We start from the raw sequence: 19,989 nt of genomic DNA on the forward strand, positions 1-19,989 counted from the left end.
AGGGCACTTCACAGGCAAAGAATGGGAAAAAGAGCTTACTACAGAAGACCACAGTGACCAAAGACAGGGGCCTAAACCAATGCAGTATCTGCAGCAAACTAAAATCAGATCTGTACTGCTACAATGTATGGTGTTAGCCAATGGCAGTCAACTAGGAAGGGAATTGGGTGGTACATATGTAGAGACCTGTATGTATGAGGCATGGTGATAGAGCCCTATATACTGTGGGTCCCAACCCTAGCTAACCCACAGAATTATCTGGAAGCTCCTTAAAAATACTGATTCCAAGGAACAAAACACCACCACCCCCACCCCGACTCCAAGTAAGTTGTAATGATCAGCCATGTTTGGTAATAACTGTAGTATGACATACTAGGGTAGAAAAAAGGGAAATCAATAAAAGGTTTAAGCAGAAAGATGAAGAGGTAAGATCTAAGTTTGAAATCATTTTCTTGAACAATTTAGAGGGGAAGAGGAGGTGAGAGAGGCAAGGAAATTATAAATACATTAGAGACCAGTAAAAGTACCTGAACTATATGATAGACTAGAGGTGGTAGGAGATCTGGGCAAGGGGGGAAATTCCCAAAATATAAATGAGTATCTGGTGGCTCCATGGATCAAAAACACATATGCAAGGCGTATGTGATTAATTTGCCTTTGAACATTTTCAAGTCTGAGGGGCCTATGATACAGCTACGGAGAGATATTAAGCTGGCAGGTAGATGGCATTGAAAATCTGGATAATCTCCACTGGAGACATGGATTTGGGAAAGAGTATAAAGAATGCACGCCCATCTCAAATGACTTTTCAGCAGGTGAGAAAATCCCTCATGCAGCAGAATGTCTCACCTAGTGTCGCTGCTGCAGCCAATCCAGCTGTGTAGGGGTCCGTCCCTGGGGGAGCAGCGCTGATGATGTATGGATTGGGGACAAACGCAGCGGGAGCTAAACCTGCTGAAAACATACCTGTCAGTAAAAACAAACTTGACTAAAACTGCAGCCCTATCAAATACCTACACAGTTTCGCTATTCACTCCAGACAGTAGATAAGGAAAAAATGAAAAAAGAGAAGACGGGACAGGTTGAGGGTAAAGAGAAATTTTAAAAAGATAACTGCTATACTAAAGATTATAATGAAATGTTTATATAGTCAAATTTTACCTTTGCTAAAGAAATATTTAACTTAAAACTGTATATAGTTATAAATTCAGCATTTCTAAAAGATTATTAAAATTGTAACAGCCTACAATAGAACAATTTTAAAGACTAATATTAAAATGGGATGAAGTATTTATTTCTATTTAAAACAATTTTCCAAACAGTTTTCATGAAATAAAATGTATGGGTATTTATAAAGATTACCATCTACAACTATACATTATCAGACCCAAGGACTTTATGCCTGGCCTTTATTTATTTAGGTTGGAAGTAAGTATATTCTTCTATAGCCTATCACATCCAAGATTAGCTATCTCCTTTCTACTCAATCATGCCATTTTGACACATTAAAAAAAAAAATTCTACTTCTACTTGTTTATACTTAATGCACTCTAAGAGACCTTAAGAAGGTCCAGGGGGAAGAAACGTCTAGGCAGTACGATGAATACATCGCTCAAAACTTTAACAACTGCTAAAGGAAAAGGGCAAAGCTACTTTAAAATCGGTAATTATATGAGAATACTTTTAAATTTTTTCAATGCATACTTACTGGAAAATGGATTTATACTGTTTGTTCACAAAATAAGAAGCTGATATATTAGTCTATAGAACCACAACTTATGTAATCAATGTCATCCAAATCTTACCGAAAGAGCTAATGGTAGTCACCAGTCATTACTCTGATAAATACTTTAAATCCTGAAACATCTGAGGTAGGGCAATGGCTGAACACTGAAGAAATGTTATGATGCGGGTCTACAAGCTATGTCAAAACTAATGTGGCTGGAGACAACTGGACAAAAGGAAGAGGCCACTTACTCTGTCTGAGGGATTTGTCTGAACTTTTATAATCAGTTTAAATTACTGGGTTTCACAGCAACCAGTTATCCTAAAATGGCGGCCACACCTATCATGAAAGAGCTATGGGCTTAAGGACTTACCGATGTGCGGCTGATGAGCAGCTGCCAGTGCATACTGCTGCTGCTGAGCAGCTGTCAACTGCTGGACAGCAAGCGCATTAGGTCTTTGGAACAGCTGAGGCAAGAGGAAAAACACGGTGTGGTTAGGGAAACTGTCTTACAAAATCATTTAAAAACCTCTCTGACTAAAAATTTTAATAAGCACTTGTTTAGGCGTGACACCTTAACAATAAATGTTCTCACACTCTACTTCATTCCCATGGGATTAAAATGTTTCATACTTCTGTTCTCCCTGTCTCTCTTTCTTTACTTCAATTTACTGTGTCCTGGTTCCATGAGCTGACCGCTTCACAGATTATATGTCCCCTGAACCACAAATACACACTCTCTCACACACACACACACACATATGAGATATCTATATCTATATCTATATATCTATCTATATATCTCATATATATGCATTCAAAAGCCCTAAAGATTATCAGGTCTACAGGTCCTGCCTGATCCAAGGCAAAGTTAAAAATTAGACAAATGTACTACCAACTGATTTGTCACATTGTCCCTAGTGCTGAATCTCCTTTCAGTGCTTTCAAGACCCCACAAATAACTGAATTAATCCTCACCTACTCACATTTTGGAGAAGAATATGAAAAGTGTTCACTTCATCCTCTGAGCTGCCTCTTCCTGGGAAAATGGTATTGAATAACTTCCTCAACTAGTAGCTTATCCTAATGAGTAAATTAAGACACCTGCCCAACTTTCGGGAGCTCCAGAGTCTTCTGGGATACTATTCTTTATATGTTAAAAATAAAACAGCAGAAACACAGCAGCTACTAACAAAACTTGGATTATGAGCTCACACCTAGCACACTTCTTAGTTCTAAAGAAAAGAAAGTTCAAAGGCCTTAACAACACTAAGAATGTCTTACGATTCTACGTTAATACAAAACCAGTCATTCACTCATTAATTCAACAAATATTTATGAAACAAATGATACCTGCTAGGCACTGTGCAAGGAACTAGGGATATGACAGTCAATAAAACAATACATAATCCTGCCCTGATGGAGATTACATTTTAGTATGAATAGTATTGGTATAAAGAAAGGGGATGCCAGTAACCTAATTTGTGGATCACCTTAATGGGCCTCCTTCCAAGGAGTCATACTGAAGACTTCAATGTTTGCTAAAATCAGACTGAAAGCACTTACTGAAGTGACCTCCCTGGATAGGACCTTCAACCTACCTGCTCTTCCTACAGGATTTTTCAACAGCTCAGCTGACATTGCTGGATGATGTTTAACAGACACCATGGATCTTGAATTACAGATGTCCTCATAAAGAGACCTGATTGTTTCAGACATTAGGAGATAATGTCATTCTAGCAACTCAGCTTAATTATTGTCATGACTGGACTTACTCTTATCTTAGGTGGTGGAGAGATTTTATCCTGAGATTTGGCTACCCTCTACACCTCAAACATGAGGCTAATTTTAGATTAAAAGAAAACAAAAAGTGAATACTTTGAAGATATTGGCCAATTTCACCTGTTAACTCTTTAGTCTTAGTCTCTGCTTTTGGAGTATGAATGTCAAAAGTAACCATGCACAGATTTCAAAAATACTTTAGTTTTTTTTGTTTTGTTTTGTTTTGTTTTTCCCCAAAAGTTAAAGAAAAACTTCACTGCGATGCTGGCAAAAAAGAAACAGTATTACTAAATATCAAGTCTTAAAAAGAAATAGGGGAACTGAATCTACTGACAGACATTATCAAAACATTTGTCCTCCAGGAAGGGAGCCAGTCAAGACTATTTGGTAACAGTGTGCTTGTGATTTCTGCAAGTTGGTTTCACATTTCTGTTTTACTAAAGATGTGTCTCACACAGTATTCCCTCCAACAGGAGGCAGTCCACCCAAGAGGGGCAGCCAGGAGTGGGAAATAAGTAAAACAGTAGAAAGTTACTTTTAAATTATTTCCAAGGTTGTGAAAACATCTCATAGTTCCACTAAACATGTATTGCCTCTTCAATGGGTTTCTGGAATTTTCTTGGCCTAAAACCTTTTGCAACATTTAACATATCAGCTTGTGCTAGCTGCTTCTCTCTACCCTTCTTTGCCCTACTGCAAACAAAAGAATTCATTTCATTCAACAGATGTTTTTCGAGCACCTATTATTAGGCAGGTGCTGTGACATGGAACTGGGGAAAAAAAGACAGTATGTTCAGAACACAACTCTTAAGGGTATCTCGATTTATTAACCAAAAACAGTAGTCCACTGCCATTCCATCTGACTTAACCTCACTTCATATATTTTTGTTTGTTTGAAGAGTCGGAGTCTTACTCTGTCTGTCACCCAGGCTTAAATGCAGTGACGTGATCATGGCTCACTACAGCCTCAAACTCCTGGGCTCAAGCAATCCTCCTGCCTCAGCCTCCAAGTAGCTGCGCATGTCACCACGCCTGGCATTTTTTTTTTTTTTTTTTTGAACTTTTTTGTAGAGATGAAGTCTACGTTGCTCAGGCTGGTCTGGAACTCCTGGGCTCAAATGATCCTTCCACTTTGGCCTCCCAAAGGACTGGAATTACAGGCGTGAGCCACCACACCTGGGCTATATATTTTTTTAATATTACATGTAAGTCATTTTATGTATGTGTACTGTATCTGTAAATATACACGGAAATACATGGCATGTGGGAATACCACAAAAGTAATCATTCCATATAACATTAGCTTGTGGTTTTCACCACCACATTAAAACATTCTGAAAGCAGGAACTATTACTTTTAACTAAAAGCAAACAAGCCTTACAAGAGACCCCATATAGCCTATGTTTGAGAGCTGATTAATATCTTAGTAATTATGGTGAATAGAAAAGGATTTTCTTGAGACCATTTTGCAGTAAACAACTTAACAAAAGTAAATTATACATCTACAGCAGACAGATTTGATTACAGAACAGATTACAGCAATTTTGGCACATTCTCTTTATGTAAATGGTGCAATATTAACTGGAAATACAGAGTATTCAAAACAAATTGGGTAATTGGCAAGTGACAGATTCCAAAGGATCCTGAAAAACTCACACAAATGCCATCTGCTGGGCAAAGCACTGAGCTCTGCTAACATTTTCATGTTTTTCACAAAGCAAGCGAATATCCCATAACTGAGAAACAAAATACTGTGAGTTGGGGGAAATGCTCAAAGGTCAGTATAATGATAAATGTGACGCAGTTAATTATAATTCACTTGGGTAGATTTCACAAGTTGTTCAAGAGTCTGAATGCTGGGGAAAATGTATCATCTACTTCAAGCATATCGAGGTTCCTAATAAATACTGAAGGCATAGTTTAAGAAGTAGACAAGCTGGTTTGCCTCCTTTCTCTGTCACTTACTATATTAAAAACAGTCTACAGAGCTCTTATTCCAGAAAGGAATCCGGGCAGCCAAAAACACCCAATATAGTGACTGACATGTAGTTGGCATCTTATAAAAGATAGCTACTACTATTATTACTGTTGTTGTTATCAATAGCAGTTGCTGACATAAAAAATTATGGCTTTTTTTTTCTAAACCTGGAGGAGTAATGTCTAAATAAGGAGTTAGTAAATGCAAAAGACTACCGCCCCCACTCCCCCCTGGCCACCGGCCACAATAAAATGTACTGCCAGCCCTGACTTTTTTACCAGTTTGAGACTATATACATAGCAGACAGGGGTTAAGAGCACTGACTCTGGAGCCAGACAGCCTTGGTTTCTATCTCAGCTCACCAGTGACTTGCTATGTCACCTCTGGCAAATCGCTTAATCTCTCTGTGCCTCATTCTCTTCTCCTCTTTAATATGACAATAAAGATAATATGTAACATGGCAGGTTGCTGTGGGGATTAAAATTAACACATGTAAAGATTTATAAGAGTCCTTTATGTGTGATGTTCTTTCTGATGAATGGGGAGAGCACCCCCAACAGACTCAGCCCTTCTGAGAGTCACCCTTTACAGTTCCTTCCCAGAGCCAGGCAGCCCAAGCAGACCAAAAGCAGAGGGCAGGACTCCTCCTAGTCTGTATTAAGAGTCTAAATCAGCCAGGCAAAGTGGCTCATGCCTTTAATGCTAGCATTCTGGGAGGCCGAGGCAGGCGGATCACCTGAGGTCAGGAGTTCGAGACCAGCCTGACCAATATGGAGAAACCCCATCTCTAATAAAAATACAAAATTAGCCGGGAGTGGTGGTGCAGGCCTGTAATCCCAGTTACTCGGGAGGCTGAGGCAGAAGAATTGCTTGAACCCAGGAGGCGGAAGTTGAGGTGAGCCGAGATGGCCATTGCACTCCAGCCTAAGCAACAAGAGTGAAACTCCATCTCAAAAAAAAAAAAAAAAAAAGAGTCAAAATCTCACCGCACCAGGACCACCAGCTGCTATCAGTGGGTCACAAAGATAACAGGGAAGAAAGAAAACCATTTTTGTTTTTACGGATGAGTACTTTCTGCATTATACTACTTTAAGAAAAAGCTATGTAGTTGAATTTGAAGGTGAGACAACTCCACCTATTAAAAGGCCCTGCGTTTCTAATACAAAGTTCAAAAGAGACAGCCTGAAGCTAGAAACCAAAATAATAGCTATCTGCATAGCTTGTACTAGATGACCTTCAAACAAGTCCCTAAACTTCACTGATTTTTTTTTTTGGAGACAGAGTGAGACTCTGTCCCCGGGGCTGGAGTGCAGTGGTGCGATCTTGGCTCACTGCAACCTCCGCCTCCTGGGTTCAAGCGATTCTCCTGTCTCAGCCTCTGGAGTAGCTGGGATTACAGGCTTGCGCCACCACACCTGGCTAATTTTTGTATTTTTACTAGAGACGGGGTTTCACCATGTTGGCCAGGCTGATCTCAAACTCCTGACCTTGGGTGTCCTGCCAGCCTCAGCCTCCCAAAGCGCTGGGATTACAGGCATGAGCCACCATGCTTGGCCTCTTATGTGTAAAAATAAAATAGCTGCCCTACCTCGTGGGGTTGTTTTCAGGGTTCACAGAGAAAATCCCTTCGAAACAGTAAAAGCACTATATCAATGATGGGATTCTAAAATTTTAAGAAAAAGGTTTATTTTGGAGTCATTCCTCAGCATATGAAATTTGTGAAATCTTGTTACTGCTTGAAGCTTCTAGATAAAAGCCCAGTTTATACCAGGTTATTTGAACTACTGCAATGATCAACTAATGATTACAATGATTTTTCGTAGGCGCATACAAATTAAACCATGCTGCTAAACTAAAAAAAAAAAATCATCATCATCATCATCTGTGCATTTCTTTGGCAGATGAAGAATCTGATTCCAAAACAAATGATTTCTAAGGTCCTAGGGAAGAACAAAACACATCCCTTCACTAAGTATTATTAATACTTTTTGAGAAAAACTTCACCATAAGTAAAATTTGAACGAAGTCAAATAACAATAGAAGTTAAGCTTCAACTGATCAATTACTAGTCACTCTTTGTCAGTTACTATACACATGACACTTGATAGAATAATCATTTGTAAGTTAAAGAGAAAGTTGAGCATATTAAATACCTACATTAAAAGTATATACACACTTGGCCTCACGAGAATGACATTTAATCACACTGCCACACTTTTAACACATGCCGATTTCCACTCCCCTCTGACTGTGGTCGTGCAGGAATGAATACCATACTTCAACTTTCATTTTCAGAATATTGAATCTTTGTTAAAATTCATGCTTAACAGATGAGTTTTAGTACAACAGTGTCCAATTTTGTGAAACATACTACATTAGGCTATTTTTAGATTAACTGAATTCTAAATAAAGATCAACAATACAATTAATTCTACACTGATATAATCCTGGCTTTGGTTTGTGCCATGTTTGTAACATAATACAACCTAGTAACAAATTTTTTTTTTTTTTTTTTTAAGACGGCGTCTCACTCTGTCGCCCAGGCTGGAGTGCAGTGGCGTGATCTCAGCTCACTGCAACCTCCGCCTCCTGGGTTCAGGTGATTCTCCTGCCTCAGCCTCCCGAGTAGCTGGGACTACAGGCGTGTGCTACCACGCCCGGCTAATTTTTGTATTTTTAGTAGAAAGGGGATTTCACCATATTGGCCAGGCTGCTCTCGAACTCCTGACCTCATGATCTGCCCGCCTCGGCCTCCCAAAGTGCTGAGATTACAGGCGTGAGCCACCGCGCCTAGCCAAAACCTAGTAATAATTTTCTAAACTGCATTTAAGGAAACAGGCAACTGTATAGCATTTTGTAAAAAATAAATACTGCTCCAACATCACAGTACAAAATGGTATGAACACATTATGCATGAACTGCTCACAGCTGTTTTCCAGGATTAAGAAGACAATGAAGTGAATTTGAGACAAAGGAAGAACATTTTAGAAATAACAACGAGCATTTCAAGCTGACAAAATACTCCAAGTCAGAGGTTCTGAACCCAAGATATTTGTACTTGGGTGGGTAATACTGCATCTTTATCTCATGCACATTTACCTGAAATTTAGCATGTTCTTCAATTATGATTGTAGACAACAAACTACATTAACTTTAGCAATATACCTGTGACATTATCACAAACAGAAATCACATATACTTTCATGTTACTTTACAGTTGTTACAAGTATCTCAACATCTTACTTGTGCTCATTATGACAGCTAGTACATCTACTTCTATTTCATGCATCATATCATAAATAAGTAAATATATAATTAACTTTGTTTTTAAATATGACAGCTATTTTTATACCACTGGTTTCCTTTGTAATCCTACTTTATACATTTTAAACATTATTCTGAGAAGTAGTCCACATGGTTCACTTATTAAGAAGTTCACGGCACACACAAAAACAAACAAAAAAGAATTAGAAACTCCTGCTCTTATAAATAAACCTTACAAGGGTTAAATTCAGAGTGATTAACAGTGACCAGACAACCAACTGACTCATCAAAATCCCATGTCACAGCTAACAAGAACTAAGTTTGCAATGAATTAAATGAAAATTACCTTTTCCCTATTTGCAGGCTGCTCCATGTCATGTATCTCATTATAGGCTGATAATAAGTTTGATGAAACCAGCTTATTACACCAAATCAAAGCCAAGATTGAAAGAAAATATAACAAAAGAGAGAATTACTTATTTTGTCAACCTCCAAACCAGATTCCTATTCTAAAAAATCACAAATAAAGCAAACCTACCATTTGCAGCAAACTCTAAACCAAGAAAAATGATCACCTTTGTTGCTTATTTCAGAAAGCCAAGATAAAAAGAGCAGAATGTGCAGAAAAGTATGTGCTGCACTAGACCTCTGGTCCAACCCTCACAATCATCAGTACTGTCTGAGACTTCCAGCTGGTTCTCAAGGCCTCCGGGACTCAATTTTCAAAGGCATCTGTACCTCCTTGTCCTCTTGTACACTCGTCTTCTACTCTCTTCAGCCTAGGACTACACCACAGTCATTCCCAGCTCCATACCTCTGCTCTGACCTGCAACAAAATGTATTCCACCTGTCCTTCAAGTCAGTTGCATGCAACCTTTGTCCTCATTGAGCCCTCCCCTTGTCTGATAAGATTCAGAACCCATTAATTTAGCACTTAGTTCCCCAAATATTCCACTACTGTTTCATTCAGAACCCAAGGTTCCTAGAAGGACACAACAGTCAACAGTTAACTGAATAATAAGAGTAAGAGAATGCCTCAAACTGCTGCTAAACTCACACTAACCACAAAAAAAACAAACTATAATAATTAAGTAATTCCTGCTTTAAAGTGTCTTCTCATTTCCTATAGGCAACACAGCATAAGACTCACAACACCATCTCTTCAACCTCTCTAGTTATTTTTCTTCAACCTAACCACCAACCAGACTGACTACTTCTACATTATCTACTGAACACATATCTGTTTTACTATTTCCTCCACTAGAATTCTCATTTTCTTCGTATATAAAAAAGTCTTTCAAGGCACAGCTAAAGAACTACCTCTTCTGGCTGGGCGCAGTGGCTCATGCCTGTAATCTCAGCACTTTGGGAGGCCAAGGCGGGCAGATCACCTGAGGTCAGGAGTTCGAAACCAGCCTGGCCAGTAAGGCGAAACCCCATCTCTACCAAAACTACAAAAATTAGCCAGGCACAGTGGTGGGTGTCTGTAGTCCCAGCTACTCGGGAGGCTGAGGCAGGAGAATCGCTTGAACCCAGGAGGCGGAAGTTGCAGTGAGCCAAGATCGTACCACTGAACTCCAGCCTGGGCAAAAGAGTGAGACTCCGTCTCAAAAAAAAAAAAAAAAAAAAAAAAAAAAGAACCACTTCTTCCACAAAGTCCTTCCCTTCCCAAGAGACCAGAGTACACTCTCCATAGTTGCAGGGTTCCAAGAATATGGGCATAAATGGTCTCATCACTTGTCATCGAGTACTTCCATGCACAATTTAAATGATAAAGTGAGTTACAATGACTAACCTGAGAGCAAATCAAGAAGAAGAAAGGGAATCTTACTCTATTCATGAAAGATATGGTTGGCTACAAAGAACAAAAGATATGAACAGAAGGCTGTATCTGTAGAACACAAATCTGTGGTCTCCCTGAAGTTATCTACAAAACTGAGTGTCAGAGAATTATGTACATTTTTCTCATGAGAGAGACCATGGCTTCTGATCAGATGACAACAGAGTGAGCCTTAAAATATTAAGTTCTGATCCAAGAAGTAACTTTCCTGGATATTATACAGCATAGTTATTTGTATATAAGTGGTAAGCTGGATCCAAAGGACACACATATTAGAAAACACGGTAGTTCTCAAAGAGTAGCCTCCAGACCTCCTGAAAGGCTAGTTTCAAATTTTAATTTTGGGAAGCATATTACGTACAGAGGATGCACTGAGATATTATAATAGGGATGGGGGAAAGTCCCCTGAAACCTTGTTCTGCTAAAGCAATGCAGAGGAAATGGGGTAAGGTTCAGTCTTTGCCCTCAAGGAGCTTACAATCTGGCAAGGACTATTAGACGAGTAATCACAACACAAGACAAAACATGGTAACACCTTCTCTTAAAGGAAACACAAAATGCTATGGAGTTCTAGGGAGGCAGACATGACAGCTTTTTGGTTTGGAGACTAAGAAAGGAAGGTGACAGTACTGAACCTTGACAAATGAGGTGGACGTAAATTAGAAATGAAAAGTGGAATAAAATGTAATGAAAACTAAAAGGATAAGGGATAAAATGTAAGAAACAAACACCAATTTCCAATAGAAAAGGAATCGTTCCTTCTTGACAACTACTAGCTCTTATACAGGAACACCGAGAGATTGAGGGTCTTAAAGATATAGGAGGCTTACGCCAGTGGTTCCCAGGTATGCTATTAGGGCCCCCGGTACAAGAATGTATAAAACAAACTACTCAGAAAAGAATTATGGCCCATGAGATAAAACAACACTCACATCATGACAGTGGTATGTCTGTGTAAAAATGCCTCTATGTTGCAGCAACCAAGACATGCACAGGAAACCTGAATCCAACAAGAGATTAACTTTCAAAATAATGTTTACTTTCAATAACTGCTGAGATATATGGTGAGGGCACCCTTGGTTTTATATTTTTGAATAAGTGGTAGCTATGATGTAATCATGCTAACTACTTGTGGGTACATAGAAGTACATTTCTGTTCAAGTTCTAATAATTGTCCAGTCTCCAAAAACTGGTAAAATTATTTTGAAACCAAAGATCAATAAATCAAAAAAGAATATCAACTCTGATTATGAAGTAAAGAACAGTTTAAAAAAAAAAGAGAGAACCATATATTTTTGTTCATAAGAAATCTGAGACAAACCCTTCTTAAAAAACACAGAAAGTGTTAGATTGCATTACACTGGGAATGGAAGCTAAGAACCAAAAATGGCCATAAAGAGAAAAAAAGCACAGAGAGTCAATTCATATGGGGAGGCAGGCATACCTACTAAGAACTGCACGGAGAAGAGTGTACACTTTCAGTTTACTCTCTCTGAAAGATATTTTGTTAATTTAACCTTATATGAATATGCACATTCACACAATCCCTTAAAGGTATTTATTGTTCATAAACGACACAGGAGACTTAAAGGGAAACTTCATATGTTTAACTTTTTACTCTATCAATCAAAATTCATTTAGTATCAGCTATTTATGACAATAACTAAAGGTACAACACGGCATAATAATCTCCAAAGACCATAAGCTAATTTCCCTACATAGAATTTCTAAACTTCAAAATGAGATGCTAACCTTTCAAACCTAGAAGTCTGCATTAACGATCTATTACAAAACTACTAAAGAGTAACAGAAATTCATGGTCAATCAAACTGCTTCCGCCACAAGGGAGAACTTAACAAGATTGGGAAACTAACAGCCCCTCTTTTGTAGTTCAGACAGCTGACCTTTCTTTAAAAAATAAATAAATAAACACAGAGATCAGTTAATCCTAGAGGTAGTCCTACATGTCTTCAAAAACAGAAGGTAGACATACAACATCTTCAGGGACTTATGAATTTAAAAAAAGAAAAAGAGCCAAGCAATTTCATGGTAGATTTTAAGTTGAATGATTTGTGTGTGTGGTTTCCTCTGATCGCATTCTAATACTTTTGAAAGATGCCAGATCCTTGTCTATGCTATCTGGAGTAACTTGTTTAACTGTAAGACACAACTGGTAAGATGACCTGGCACTACACTCCTGACAGCGGTGGATAGTAGAGTTTACTATTTTAAAAACAAAACAAACCAACAGCATCACAACCACATAAATCTTCAGAGATTAATTTAGCACCCGAGAGGGTTGTGTTACAAGAGGCAATACTACCTCATCCACTCCCCAGCTGCTGAGGAGAGAGAAGAACCAAAGGAAGTACATACAGAGGACGGTGGCCTCTTGCCAGTGACCTCAGCATAGGGACCAGCTTCATGAGGGGACTCTGTAAACCTACATCACTAACAGGTTCACAAGGGCTAGCTATGGATAGCCTGAAACAATGCCACCACCTCCCCCATCCCCCCATTCTTAATTACTTGAACAACGTGCTGGCTGGAGGGAGAGTAGAGAGGGTGACAGAGACACACACAGTACCTGTTGTTGAGAATTGTAGTCAAAAAGTCCCACAGTTGCTGCTGCTGAGTCCACAGGTACCTGCGTGCCTGAATAATCAAACTGAAGAGGCTCCATGCCCACATGTTCCATGGGGTCCAAGGGGACACTCTGGGACTCCATGTTGGAGAAATCCTCCACAGGCTTGGCACCATTGGTGCTGGTCAGCTGGGCTAAGCCCTCAGAACCATTCTGGTTTGGACCCAGAAGATCCACTTCATTAGCAGAGTTCTGGCAATTACCAGGGGTACGGCTAAACAGAGAAAGTAAAGGGCATTAAACCTTATTTTCAGTGGGGAGGGACTACAGCAACCCAAGTTTAAGGACAATGTCCTCAACATAGCTCATTATCAACAGTATTTAAAACTATTTCTATAAAATAACCAGAGATACTTTACAGGGCTTACAGGGTTACATCTTCTAAATTGATGCTTCTATTGCCGGCAATTCCATATAACTCACCCCTTAAATTCACATTAATTGCTATTAATTTACATCCCTTCACCAAGGGGGCCGGGTTTGAGGAAAACTGAAATAAAGTGGAAAAATCACTGTCTATAGCATCCATGAAAGCAGATCCCAAAATGCATCAAAATGCAACATCTACTCTATCTACTCTTTAAATACAGAGACAATGGAAAAAGTTGGTTTCTGGGGGAAATTCCACAACTCAGTGATTCTAAAAAGTTTTTATCTTCCTGGCATATTTGTGAGGAAAGAAACAGAATGAAAAAAGTTTTTACATGTCGTTGGTATTACTGACCAATGTTAAAACTAACTCCCCTTTCTAAGAAACCGAAATAAGCAGACTATTCCAAAGTAGTACAAGATGAACTCATTATCTAGGATATGCCCCTGTTAAGGAGACAATTCTAAGAATTAAAAGTAATGGGAAGATGTAATTTATCATCCAAACCAGGACATGCCTAAGATTTAAAAAAAAAAAAAAAAAACAGGGCACTATTGATAATTATTGTAGGACACAAGGTTCTGGGTAACCCAGGGTCTACCATCACCTTATATAAAAGGACTTCAGGATTATATGATCCAAAATCAGACTAATATATAATATTATATAAACAGAAGAGTGTAACCTGTGGCAACATTCAATGCCCTTCTTCTCCACCTCCAACCCCCTACCCCAAAAAATCCTGTAGTCCAGTAGCTGGTACATATTAAAGGTATTATTCTGGTTCCTTCTCTTTCTTTCTCTCACTCACACACTCACCACCACCACCACCAGCCCCCATTTAAATACAACAAAATACTGCTACAGGCTGCTGGATATTCAAGGTGGAGAGGACACCTGAACTCATCTGAAAGACCTTAGGTAAGTATTTATTACCCTGTGCCTTAAATTTCTTCCAAAGATTGTAATTCAGGCCGGGCATGGTGGCTCATGCCTGTAATCTCAGCACTTTGGGAGGCTAAGGCAGGCAGACCACTTGAGCTCAGGAGTTCAAGACCAACCTAGCAACATGGCAAAACCCCATCTCTACAAAAGATATAAAAATTAGCCAGGCATGGTGGTGCGCGGCTGTAGTCCCAGCTACTCGGGAGGCTGAAGTGGGAAGACTGCTTGAACTCAGGAGGTGGTGGCTGCAGTGAGCTAACTTCATGCCACTGCAGTCCAGCCTGAGTAACAGAGTGAGACCCTGTCTCCAAAAAATAAATAAATAAAAATAATTTTTAAAAAGTTTAAGACTGTAATTATTTACACATGCAAGATTAACAATAATTAGATTAGGGATACAAAACAACTGACACTTGTCCTACAACGATGGTCCAAAATACATTTTCATTTTGACTTTGGCAGACATTAGAATAAGCAGAGGGGTGTGAGTGTGTGCATGCACACACATTAGCTTTACACTGATATTAAAATTACTCAAAATTAAATTCTCTACCTGTACTATCACACTGGAGATTAAAAAAAAATCCTCTACCTGTATATATAACTGGACAAGGATTTTTATAGATTTTTCAAGAATATGTGCCAATTGTGGAAGATAAATATACATTATTTTAATACTGTGTAACTTAAATAATAGGGTAAAACCTGTACATTAATCATGACCAGAGATGGAATGAGAGGCATCTGCAGAAGAGATATGATTAAGAACAAATCATTTAAGCTGCATCTCTGGCTCTTCAAAATAAGGAAAATGATACCTGGTCCACCTACCTCAAAAAGAGCTCATGAGACTCAAATGAGATAATGCACAAGTTCTCAACTGTTTTTCCCTCTAAACCACCAGAGGGATATGACATATTCCATTAGTAACCATAGCTCTCTAATACGGTAATTTGGGAGAAACTTAAGAAAGGTTCCAAGGCATCTATCCTAGGTGATTTTAATATCTGAGAATCACTGAAATAGTCTTCTCTGGAATCTTTCTTCAGATTTTAAAGTTCTATGCAAATGCAAAATCTATCATTTTGGCAACGCTTCAGGCATTGACACCTTTTAGAAAATTCCACCTCACCAGTTAATTTACAATCTTTGTAGCATAGCCTACACTAGATTGGATTCTTAAAAAGAAAACATGAAGAGGGGAAGAAAACGAAAATCAAAGTAAAACTAAATCAAAACAAACAAAATCCCATAGCCCATATTCAAAAATCAGAAGTGTAAAACATACAAACCTAAAATCTTTGACGTCTGCATCAATCCCATTCTGCACTGGTAAACCATTGGTCTTGTCCATCACATCACCCTCCTCCTTCAAATCTCCTAGCTTATCTCCATCAAACGTACCCTTGTTCTTCTTTTCACCTTTGTCGTTTTCATCACTGTCTGCATCCCTTGGGCCCTGTTTAAAAAATAGCTTCAGCTTCACTAATCGTCATCAACTAATAATAACGGGCAACCGTTGTGGGCACCAGACTACACTAGATGCTACTCAGAAGAGGATAGTGTTGTGCCCTTTCACACATTACAATCTAATTAACAAACAACACAGAGGCAGGAACACTGCAGAAGGTCTTGCCAAATGAGGGAGACAGACATACATTTATGTTACAGAGTTCAGAACAGTCTTACTATATCCAATGTCCCACCAACCCATTTTCTTCCTTCCTTTTTTTTCTTCCTTCCTTTTTTTTCTTCCTACCCAAAGCCCAGCCATAACTTTGCAGCTCTTGGTCAAGTTCTCTACTCCCAAACCTAACTCTGTATAATAGCATGACTCTTAATAAGCCCCAGGTATGACAGCTAATAGCATAGAAAAAAAAAATTATTAAGCCTGTAAAAAGAATTTCATACTTCTCCACTGCACTATGTAAATTCCTCCCTTACTTCTAAATATTGAGCCAAGTGTGGTCTAACATCATATCAACTCAATTATTCTGTACCTGATCTTGGGATATATGCCCTGTCAATTTGCATCACCTCCCAGCTCTACCCTATAAGCCTCACAGGTATGCATCAATTCACTGATGACCCTTAAATTTTTTAATGCCTCAAAACAAGTTAACTCTGAGATTCTTTCACCAAAAGTATTCTAATAACTATCTTCTACCATCTACTGGTAACAAAGATTATTCATGAGATCTCTAAGTGGGAGTATGTTAAATTGAAGCATTTGATACAAAAGAATTTCTCTCTGAAGTGTCTATCTCCTCTTACCGACATCCCAAGTTAAGCCCTGGACATATAAAGTACATGTACCTTGATTTCCAAAGGAAAAGATTTGGTATAGTGACTTGACATAGTACAGAGAGATTTGCAGAACCTTACACCAAAGGGTTAAGGGTTTAACCCTTTGTTCTTGTAAAACTAGAGGGAAGCAGCCTTGCTTTTCCCCACGACTGACTCCTGGTTTAAGGAAGAGAAATGCACATGGACCAAGTTCAAGTTCCTGGTACAAGGCAAGATCCACTCAATAGAAGATGAGAGTGGCTGCAAAGCATTCCCAGTCACCAAAACCAAATGTCAATGGGGAGAAATCAACAATGGAGGACACAGCAGCAGACACTCGGTTATAAATAGACTGACTGTGGACAGGCCTGTAGATCCAAAACCAACAGATGCTCTTAAGAGATCACTGGCCCAGAAAGGCTGACATTCTTAAACCTTTCAACTACTACTTTAGAGCCCATTTTACTTCTAAAGTTATTCTCTGTTCAAATGTGATACAGAAAAAGATAATATAAAAAAAGAACAAATATGACAAGGAACTGAGAAAGGATATACAACTTAGCTTCATGTGGCATCAAAACAGTAAACCACAGCTTTGACGGCCATTGAGATGTGCCCTTCAGAATAGAATCTTTAAAGTATGTGGCTGTTATTGATTTAAAAGGACTGAATGATAACCAATTATGCACCACATTGAGATTCCTCAAAGCAGAGATAGGAATATGATAGGGTTCTAAAGGCAAAAAGATCTTTCAAAATATCCAAAGGCAATAGCTTCCTCCATACTGCAGAGGCAAAACTGACTAAAGCTGTGTACTCATTTTTATATCCCTAGCACTGACTGCAGTGCCTGATAAAAGCTCAATAAATATGATGAAGAAAATTAAAAGGAACAAAAAAATCATGCAAAACTGAACTGTTAAAATAAGAATGATCTTCCTGTTGTCCTTATCATCATTAAATAAGAGTCCTGGAGGTGGTAATATGGTCTAGATGACAACTCTGCCTGAATCAGAAACCATTAATGTCAACAGCAAAAGAATATTACAAGAATCATCCCACTGCCACGCCTAAGTCATCATCTTCCGCAGTCTACAAATCAAATCACTGGCTCAGAAGAAACAGTTCAGCTCCAATTTCTCAAAAGGAGTTCAAAAGGTCTGTAGGCAAAAATGGAAAGAAAGGGCCAGGCGCAGTGGCTCACACCTATAATCCCAGCACTTTGGAAGGGCAAGGCAGGATCACTTGAGCTCAGGAGTTCAAGACCAGCCTGGCTAACATGGTGAAACCCTGTCTCTAAGAAAAATACAAAAATTAGGCAGCACCTGAAATCCCAGCTACTCGGGAGGCTGAGGCAGGACAATCGCTTGAACCCAGGAGGCAGGGGTTGCAGTGAGCCAAGATCACACCATTGCACTCCAGCCTAGGCAACAAGAGTGAAACTCGTCTTTTTTTTTTTTTTTTTTTTTAAAGGAAAGAAAGGAGGATAAAGCAGCAGTAGGAAGTTTCAACAACAAGCAAGACAGCTGGTTGCAGGGGATGTGCACTAGTCATATCAATGCTCTGCATTATCTTTCCTCAGGGGCTCTTCACAAGGGCTTTACTGAGAACCTGCTCAGCTCTTCTACATGCTGACTGGCCTGAAATCTCTTTTGTGGTGGTGGTGGTGTTTTTTAAGACGGAATCTTGCTCTGTTGCCCAGGATGGAGTGCAGTGGTGCGATCTCAGGTCACTGAAACCTCCACCTCCCAGGTTCAAGTGATTCTCCTGCCTCAGCCTCCCCAGTAGCAAAGATTACCGGCATGCACCACCACGCCCGGCATGGCCTGAAATCTTGACTGCTAAGTTACACTTTCAGCCACTAATTTACATTCTCAGTTATACTGCCACGGGCCAGATTTTCAAATATTTCCCTGCAATGTGTTGCATTTTACCAATATCGTACAGGCCATTCCTACAAAATACCGGGTTTTCTACTCTGAATAAGCTATTGATGCCTAACCAAAATGGTGGGCTCCTTCTTTTAGAGAGTGGGGAACCCAAGGGAAGTTTCTAATTCTTGATCTGGGAAGGTGTTATATGGGTGTTTTGATTTTGCAGAAATTCAAGACGAACATTTATGGCTCGTACACTTCTCTGAACATAGGTCATATTTCAATATAAAGTTTACTTAAAAGAAAAAAGAAACTCAAGAAATCAACAATGGCCCTCCATAAAAATGGCCAGCAGAAGTCTGACTTCTGAGTAAAAACAAAAGCACAAATAGGAAACCATTCTGTCAAAAGTCTGTTATTAAGAGATAGTATCAGCTGCACGCAGTGGCTCATGCCTGTAATCCTAGCACTTTGAGGCAGAAGCGGAAGGATCTAGGTTGAGGCCTAGAGTTCAAGACAAGCCTGGGCAACACAGAGGAGACGCCATCTCTAAAAAAAAAGTTTTTAAAAAAATTAGCTGGGCAAGGTGGCATGCGCCTGTAGTCCTTGCTACTCAGGAGGCTGAGGCAAGAAGACCACTTGAGCTCAGGGGTTCAAAGCTGCAGTGAGCTGTGGGGTGGGCACTTGATCTACTCCAAGAATAGATAAAATAAAGGATACGAAAAGAAAAGAAAAATAAAAGACTTGACTGATATTTTGAGCTCTCCTGTTATTCTGAAAGCTGCTCTCCTGAAGTTTGAGATTCCTATGGGGAATACTACCAAAAATTTACAGTGAATGCTCAGAACAAAATATGCACTGGCAATGCACTCCAGTCTGGGGACAAAGTGAGACCCTGAGTTTATTTCATTAATAGACAGCAGTATCAGGTTCAAGATCCTTAAAATGGTCTCTTAAAAACATGAAGACCCTAAAGACAATAGAAGAAAGGTATAAATGGGCTAAGTTTTATGAAAATTTTACACTTCTGAAAAATATTTAAGATAAACTATTCATAGCTGTGTGGTGTTTTTGTTTTTGTTTTTGTTTTTGTTTTTGAGACAGGGTCTCGCTCTTTCACCCTGACTAGAATGCAGTACTGCAATGATGACTCACTGCAGCCTTGACCTCTAGGGCTCATGTGATCCTTCCACCTTAGCCTCCCAAGGAGCTATGACTACAGATGCACACACCATGCCTGGCTGATTTTTATATTTTTTGTAGAGATGGGGTCTTGCTAT

The 19,989-nt window shown here is 39.2% G+C and overlaps 1 protein-coding gene across 2 annotated transcripts in view, besides 1 other annotated feature; it reads right to left on the reverse strand.

The window, feature by feature from the left end:
* The window catches only part of PUM1 (pumilio RNA binding family member 1), a 134,212-nt gene that overhangs the window by 47,707 nt on the left and 66,516 nt on the right, over positions 1-19,989 (reverse strand). For both annotated transcript variants that reach the window (NM_014676.3, NM_001020658.2), the window contains exons 6-9: positions 15,842-16,008; positions 13,178-13,448; positions 2,100-2,193; positions 850-951 (exon numbers count right to left, since the gene is read on the reverse strand). In NM_014676.3, the coding sequence (NP_055491.1) occupies positions 850-951; positions 2,100-2,193; positions 13,178-13,448; positions 15,842-16,008 (634 nt within the window). The remainder of the gene's footprint in view (positions 1-849; positions 952-2,099; positions 2,194-13,177; positions 13,449-15,841; positions 16,009-19,989) is intronic.
* Positions 6,419-6,919: an enhancer, noted in NCBI's record as "H3K4me1 hESC enhancer chr1:31458478-31458978 (GRCh37/hg19 assembly coordinates)". NCBI's record gives its function as "activates a minimal SCP1, AML or CMV promoter by ChIP-STARR-seq in naive H9 embryonic stem cells {active_cell/tissue: H9 hESC(naive)}" and the evidence as "EXISTENCE:reporter gene assay evidence [ECO:0000049][PMID:30033119]".

The sequence above is a fragment of the Homo sapiens genome, chromosome 1 (genome assembly GCF_000001405.40).
Source record: "Homo sapiens chromosome 1, GRCh38.p14 Primary Assembly".
NCBI lineage: Eukaryota > Metazoa > Chordata > Mammalia > Primates > Hominidae > Homo > Homo sapiens.